Genomic DNA, 8,089 nt, shown 5'->3' on the forward strand with positions numbered 1-8,089 from the left:
ACAGTCTTGGTGAGGAAGGACTGTGGCATTCAGGAAGTTCTGTAGCATTGATAAACACTTGAGGCATGGAGAAAGCTCAGAGAGTAGACAGAATGCCTGGATTCTTGACTGAGACATTTCCCTCTAGAAATTCACATGCTGAAAACACCCGTAACCTTTAGCATTTATTCAAATCTTTGAGAGGATGAAAATGTTTTTAGTATAGTGGAATCTTGAGACCTCTTTGTCAAAGTAACTCATTGAGATGTAAAGAATTGAATAAACTAGCTTCTTGCTGTCGGTAGTAATAGAGGATATAGAAAGAGGGAAAGATGAGACCCACAAATAATATAGCTCTTATTCTGGCCAACCATTGCAAATAATTTTTTTATAAATACATGTCTGGAGTATGTATCTGTGTATTTGTGTGTGTGTCTGTGCTTCTTGAAGTGTTTCTGCTGAAAAGTGTCATGGATTTTTTGTTAGTTCATCCCCACATCATGAATAATTTAATTGGGTGCTTTGTAGTAATTTTTACTGCCTCTGAAATAGAGCTATAATTCTAAAAAAATAAGAATTATTATTATTTATGAAGCCTTTAGTTTTCCTTCTTCACTTCCTCACTAACACTTCTATACTCTCATGTAATGGGCAAGCTGATAGATATTAAAACTCCTATATTTCAAATATAAAATAATATTTCCATCCAGTCATCCCTCTGTATTTGTCAGGGATTGATCCCAGGATCCCTGCATATAACAAAATTCAGTTACTTTCAAGTCCCTTAAATAAGATGGCATAGTATTTGCATATAACTTATGCACATCTTCACATATACTTGAAACCATTTCTAGATTACTTTTAATGCCTAGTACAATGTATATGATATGTAAACAGTTGTCATACTACATTATTTTTATTCATATTATTTGTATTGTTATATTGTTATTTTTATTGTTTTTAATATAGTTTTCACCCACAGTTGGTTGAATCCATGGATGCTGAACCAGTGGATGTGGAGGGCCAACTGTATTTAGTTCTTGGCTTTCATTTTTTATATAGTTTTAGAATCACAAATGTTATTGATGTTGGCTTATCTTCTCTTTGCTTTAAGCTAATTGCTTGGAATTAATCTTTCTCATAGTATCAATGAACACTCTTCTAAGGCACATTTAAAGTATTAGTTGACTTAAGCTTATTTTTTACTTTGCTTCCTACTGTCATCAATATTCAGCAAAAGTGTAGTGAAATATGTATGATTTTAGTTATCAAATATCCAATATTCCTTCTTATTTTACAGAAAGTCCCCATTGTTTGTAGTATTAGCGGATGTATTGTCTTACCTCCCACAACAGAAATCGAAGATGGATGTTTTTTACCTCTCCACTCCCAGACAAAGAAGCATTTGATCCTTGCCTAACCAGCCGACCATACATTTGCTTCAAGGCCTTTGAATCTAGAGCACGCACCACAGAGGTGAGTTGATGGCTGAAATGTATTTTCTACTGCCACGGAGTCAGACACGGAAGCAGCAGTGAAATCCTGGCTCAACTGCTTTTGTTGCCAAGCTCTAGAATCCCTAGATCCTTATTTTCCAAGCCTCCCACCAATATTAGGTTCTTATGGTAAATCTCCTTTTTGTCTTACATAGCCAGAGTCGGATTCTGTTGAAAAGAAAAAAGCAAAAATCCTGAATAATAAAAGTGTTCTCAAAACTATTATTCTGTGTTCAATAAAAACACTGTCTAATTCATAATACTGCTGCGTAGCTTCATACGTTCATTCACACATTCATCTTCACAATTTGATTCTTTCATTTATTATCACTATGATTTGGTATAAAGTACACAGATTTTGCTATCAGGCCAACCTGGGTTCAAATTTCGACTTCAACATTTGGTATGTAATCTTGAGTAATATGTGATATAAACAAAAAATCCAGTTCAAAACTAAGTGCATAGAAGAAAGATCAATTAATTCAATATCAGAAAATGCATTATTATTAGGTTTGCCTCTAAGCAACTTTGTAATCTTGGGTAAATAAAAAGCTCCAATCTTATTGACCTAATCTAAAAAGAAAACGTTGTTCAGGATTATTTTTAAGGCCCTTTCTAGTTCTAAGATTCTATAATTCACACAAAATTCCATTTCACATTTCAAAACTGTGATTGTATTTTTCAATCTCGCCCTGTGTGTCTATGTGTGTTTGCAGGCACTAGGTATTATATAAAATTAGCCCATTCCTTTTTAAACAAAATATTTACTAATTTTTGTTATATATTGATAAATTGTGATTGTATATATTAATGGCGTAGAAAATGTTGTTATGATTTTTAATATAATGTGGAATTATTAAATTAAGCTAATGAAGATATCCATCACTTCAAATATTTAATAGTTTTTGTGATAAGAACATTTGAAGTTTACTCTCTGTGGTATTGAACTGCACAGTACTCAATTATTAGCTCTATTTTATGCCAGTCTGTTGGTCCTAGAAAAGTGTCACTATCATGGCATTTTATGGAAGAAATAATCAGCTTAGCTGGACCATAGACACTGTGTGTTCTGGGTGTGCCAACCACTCCTGACAGAGCTATCCTACTTGCTGCTCTTCTGCCTAGACCTCTCTACATTCCTTTCATTTTGTCCTGACTCAACTTGTCTTTAACGAGTCTTTAATATGTCAGTTTATGTTTTATTTCCTTTGGTAAACTTTCCTAAACCTCTCTCACCTTCTACTCCTAACCTTGATTGGTTTTCTCATGACAGGCATTTGTCACATGCTCTACTTCTTCTGTGTAGCATTCATTACAATTGTAACTTAAGAATGATTATTATTATTATTTAGTTAGTCTTCATGATAGCAGAATGTTGGTTTTAATTGTCTCCCTAGTATCTCACACTGTGCAAAGCCCACAGTGGGTACACAATAGATAATTGTTGAATTTGAGGAATGAAAGTTACTACCAAAATACAAGCCCATGTGTTTGATTCCAACTTCTGGCTCTCTCTACTCAGCTGTGCTGACCAGATAAAAGGGCTTAAGCTTCAGAACTGTAATGTGCAAAAAAGCCTTTGCAAGATCTGCCATGATTTTGGATCACAGTATCTTTCTTTTCCTAATGTCCTGGGAGTCACATGTTTTATTGGTCAGCATCTCAACTTGTAGCTGACTTCACTGTTCATTCAGGGTCAAGCTCATCCATCTTTTGATGATTTGCATAGGCTCTAATGGCTTTGTTTTGGATAGTTAGTGACAAGATAACTTTTAAGGACATTCTAGGGTTATAAGCCAACACATGGGAGCGATTCCAGAGTCTATCACTCTAATTAAAGGAATATTTCTCTAAGCGTAAAATTTACAATTTCCAGCCACTGATGGGTAACATTGGCACTCAAACTAGAGTTCGTGAATAATGTAAAAATGAAAGCCAGTATAAATCATCCCTCTATGAGAAAATAAATAGCATTGTCAGGCAAATAAAACGTGCATTTGTAAGTGATTTAAAGTGCCAAATAATTTGTAAGGTTCTCACCTCTTCATAAACAACTGGAGGGCCTAATACTTTGCAGGTACTTAGTCAATGCTACTGAATTGTAGATTGACTGAAATAGTTATTCTTAAGAGAGCCATTTCTCTGCTGTATACCTATTATTGATACTCAAGGCTTATAGAAAGAGCATGAATTTAATTCAAAACATTGAAAGAGAAGAAGCATACATGTGACTATCAAAGAAACAAAGTTCAAGATACACCAAAAAGTGGTTAAAGATTATTAAACAATTCTAATGTCCGTGGATAGAATGAAGTACATCCGTGTGACTAAGATGGAGATAGTGAAGTGCCTGGCACACATTATATCTGTGCTGCTTCATTCATTAAAATGCGATGAATGAAGGTTCACTTATACTTGGGATGGCTGGAAGGTTCACTGTCAGTGTTCCATATTTCTCTCCACTAAATATAAACAATGATAGTCAAAATGAAGAAAAATAGTAATAAAAATACTATCACACCCTAACACGAGATGAACCTTAGTGATGCATAAATGCAGAGCTGAAGTAAGCAACCTGCTTGGCTGCAGGCCTGAAACTTGCAAAGACAGCTAGGGTTAGACCATGCTTGGTATTGGGAGTAAAGATACTCACCTCGGAGGAAAGGATAGGTCAAATCTCACTATGTTTATGGCTAGAGCTCGATTAAGTCAAGAGAAGAATTTGAGTTAGGTCACCAAGTGTAATAGTGCCAATATTCCATCTTCTGGCTCTTTGTTGATGTCTCTCTGACACCTTTTTGCTGTTGTATTCTTACACTTTACTCTCTTTCTCACAGTTCTTTCTCTCACTGTGCCAGTCTTTTCCCCATGTCTATCTCCCTTTTTCTCTTTCTCACAAAATTTCTCACATTTGCTAAAAGAAACACTAAGAAAACACTGCTAAGAAAATATTTGCTAGAGAAAAACACTATTATCTGACCCAGGAAAATTGAAATTAGAACTGACAGCAAAATAATACATCAGAATTGATAAATAGAAACAATTTATTTTGGTCAAAAAACTGATTAATAAATTAAATTTTAATTAGCAATGTAATTAAGAAAGCAATAGTACCAATAAGAAAATCAGCAAAATAAAAATAAATTGACATATTTTCACTGTGGTATACAGAAAATCAATCAATGGAATAAAATGGAATAAAGGAATCTTTTGAGGAGGAGGAGCCAAGATGGCCAAATAGGAACAGCTCCGGTCTACAGCTCCCAGTGTGAGCGACGCAGAAGACGGTGATTTCTGCATTTCCATCTGAGGTACCAGGTTTATCTCACTAGGGAGTGCCAGAGAGTGGGTGCAGGTCATTGGGTGTGCGCACCGTGCACGAGCTGAAGCAGGGCGAGGCATTGCCTCACTAGGGAAGCGCAAGGGGTCAGGGAGTTCCCTTTCCCAAAGAAAGGGGTGACGGCACCTGGAAAATCGGGTCACTCCCACCCGAATACTGCGCTTTTCTGACGGGCTTAAAAAAACGGTGCACCACGAGATTATGTCCCGCACCTGGCTCGGAGGGTCCTACGCCCACGGAGTCTCGCTGATTGCTAGCACAGCAGTCTGAGATCAAACTGCAAGGCAGCAGCGAGGCTGGGGGAGGGGCGCCCGCCATTGCCCAGGCTTGCTTAGGTAAACAAAGCAGCCAGGAAGCTCCAACTGGGTGGAGCCCACCACAGCTCAAGGAGGCCTGCCTGCCTCTGTAGGCTACACCTCTGGGGACAGGGCACAGAGAAACAAAAAGACAACAGTAACCTCTGCAGACTTAAATGTCCCTGTCTGACAGCTTTGAAGAGAGCAGTGGTTCTCCCAGCATGCAGTTGGAGATCTGAGAACGGGCAGACTGCCTCCTCAAGTGGGTCCCTGACACCTGACCCCCGAGCAGCCTAACTGGGAGGCACCCCCCAGAAGGGGCACACTGAAACCTCACATGGCAGGGTATTCCAACAGACCTGCAGCTGAGGGTCCTCTCTGTTAGAAGGAAAACTAACAAACAGGACATCCACACCAAAAACCCACCTGTACATCACCATCATCAAAGACCAAAAGTAGATAAAACCACAAAAATGGGGAAAAAACAGAACAGAAAAACTGGAAACTCTAAAAAGCAGAGTGCCTCTCCTCCTCCAAAGGAACGCAGTTCCTCACCAGCAACAGAACAAAGCTGGATGGAGAATGACTTTGACGAGCTGAGAGAAGAAGGCTTCAGACGATCAAATTACTCTGAGCTATGGGAGGACATTCAAACCAAAGGCAAAGAAGTTGAAAACTTTGAAAAAATTTAGAAGAATGTATAACTAGAATAACCAATACAGAGAAGTGCTTAAAGGAGCTGATGGAGCTGAAAACCAAGGCTCGAGAACTACGTGAAGAATGCAGAAGCCTCAGGAGCCGATGCGATCAACTGGAAGAAAGGGTATCAGCGATTGAAGATGAAATGAATGAAATGAAGTGAGAAGGGAAGTTTAGAGAAAAAAGAATAAAAAGAAATGAGCAAAGCCTCCAAGAAATATGGGACTATGTGAAAAGACCAAATCTACATCTGACTGGGGTACCTGAAAGCGATGGGGAGAATGGAACCAAGTTGGAAAACACTCTGCAGGATATTATCCAGGAGAACTTCCGCAATCTAGCAAGGCAGGCCAACGTTCAGATTCAGGAAATACAGAGAATGCCACAAAGATACTCCTCGAGAAGAGCAACTCCAAGACACATAATTGTCAGATTCACCAAAGTTGAAATGAAGGAAAAAATGTTAAGGGCAGCCAGAGAGAAAGGTTGGGTTACCCTCAAAGGGAAGCCCATCAGACTAACAGCAGATCTCTCGGCAGAAATCCTACAAGCCAGAAGAGAGTGGGGGCCAATATTCAACATTCTTAAAGAAAAGAATTTTCAACCCAGAATTTCATATCCAGCCAAACTAAGCTTCATAAGCGAAGGAGAAATAAAATACTTTACAGACAAGCAAATGCTGAGAGATTTTGTCACCACCAGGCCTGCCCTAAAAGAGCTCCTGAAGGAAGCACTAAACATGGAAAGGAACAACCGGTACCAGCCGCTGCAAAATCATGCCAAAATGTAAAGACCATCGAGATTAGGAAGAAACTGCATCAACTAACGAGCAAAATAACCAGTTAACATCATGATGACAGGATCAAATTCACACATAACAATATTAACTTTAAATGTAAATGGACTAAATGCTCCAATTAAAAGACACAGACTGGCAAATTGGATGAAGAGTCAAGACCCATCAGTATGCTGTATTCAGGAAAACCATCTCACGTGCAGAGACACACATAGGCTCAAAATCAAAGGATGGAGGAAGATCTACCAAGCAAATGGAAAACAAAAAAAGGGAGGGGTTGCAATCCTAGTCTCTGATAAAACAGACTTTAAACCAACAAAGATCAAAAGAGACAAAAAGGCCATTACATAATGGTAAAGGGATCAATTCAACAAGAAGAGCTAACTATCCTAAATATATATGCACCCAATACAGGAGCACCCAGATTCATAAAGCAAGTCCTGAGTGACCTACAAAGAGACTTAGACTCCCACACATTAACAATGGGAGACTTTAACACCCCACTGTCAACATTAGACAGATCAACGAGAGAGAAAGTCAACAAGGATACTCAGGAATTGAACTCAGCTCTGCACCAAACGGACCTAATAGACATCTACAGAACTCTCCACCCCAAATCAACAGAACATACATTTTTTTCAGCACTGCACCACACCTATTCCAAAATTGACCACATACTTGGAAGTAAAGCTCTCCTTAGCAAATGTAAAAGAACAGAAATTGTAACAAATTATCTCTCAGACCACAGTGCAATCAAACTAGAACTCAGGATTAAGAATCTCACTCAAAACCGCTCAACTACATGGAAACTGAACAACCTGCTCCTGAATGACTACTGGGTACATAAGGAAATGAAGGCAGAAATAAAGATGTTCTTTGAAACCAATGAGAACAAAGACACAACATACCAGAATTTCTGGGATGCATTCAAAGCAGTGTGTAGAGGGAAATTTATAGCACTAAATGCCCACAAGAGAAAGAAGGAAAGATCCAAAATTGACACCCTAACATCACAATTAAAAGAACTAGAAAAGCAAGAGCAAACACATTCAAAAGCTAGCAGAAGGCAAGAAATAACTAAAATCAGAGCAGAACTGAAGGAAATAGAGACATAAAAATCCCTCCAAAAAATTAATGAATCCAGGAGCTGGTTTTTTGAAAGGATCAACAAAATTGATAGACCGCTAGCAAAACTAATAAAGAAAAAAAGAGAGAAGAATCAAATAGACGCAATAAAAAATGATAAAGGGGATAACACCACCGATCCCACAGAAATACAAACTACCATCAGAGAATACTACAAACACCTCTATGCAAATAAACTAGAAAATCTAGAAGAAATGGATAAATTCCTCGACACATACACTCTCCCAAGACTAAACCAGGAAGAAGTTGAATCTCTGAATAGACCAATAACAGGCTCTGAAATTGTGGCAATAATCAATAGCTTACCAACCAAAAAGAGTCCAGGACCAGATGGATT

The 8,089-nt window shown here is 38.2% G+C and overlaps 2 annotated features.

Annotated features, from left to right (window-relative positions):
• Positions 4,601–5,101: an enhancer, noted in NCBI's record as "NANOG-H3K4me1 hESC enhancer chr2:117913522-117914022 (GRCh37/hg19 assembly coordinates)". NCBI's record gives its function as "activates a minimal SCP1, AML or CMV promoter by ChIP-STARR-seq in primed H9 embryonic stem cells {active_cell/tissue: H9 hESC(primed)}" and the evidence as "EXISTENCE:reporter gene assay evidence [ECO:0000049][PMID:30033119]".
• Positions 5,102–5,602: an enhancer, noted in NCBI's record as "NANOG-H3K4me1 hESC enhancer chr2:117914023-117914523 (GRCh37/hg19 assembly coordinates)". NCBI's record gives its function as "activates a minimal SCP1, AML or CMV promoter by ChIP-STARR-seq in primed H9 embryonic stem cells {active_cell/tissue: H9 hESC(primed)}" and the evidence as "EXISTENCE:reporter gene assay evidence [ECO:0000049][PMID:30033119]".

This window comes from Homo sapiens, chromosome 2 (assembly GCF_000001405.40).
Source record: "Homo sapiens chromosome 2, GRCh38.p14 Primary Assembly".
NCBI classification, from domain to species: Eukaryota; Metazoa; Chordata; class Mammalia; order Primates; family Hominidae; genus Homo; species Homo sapiens.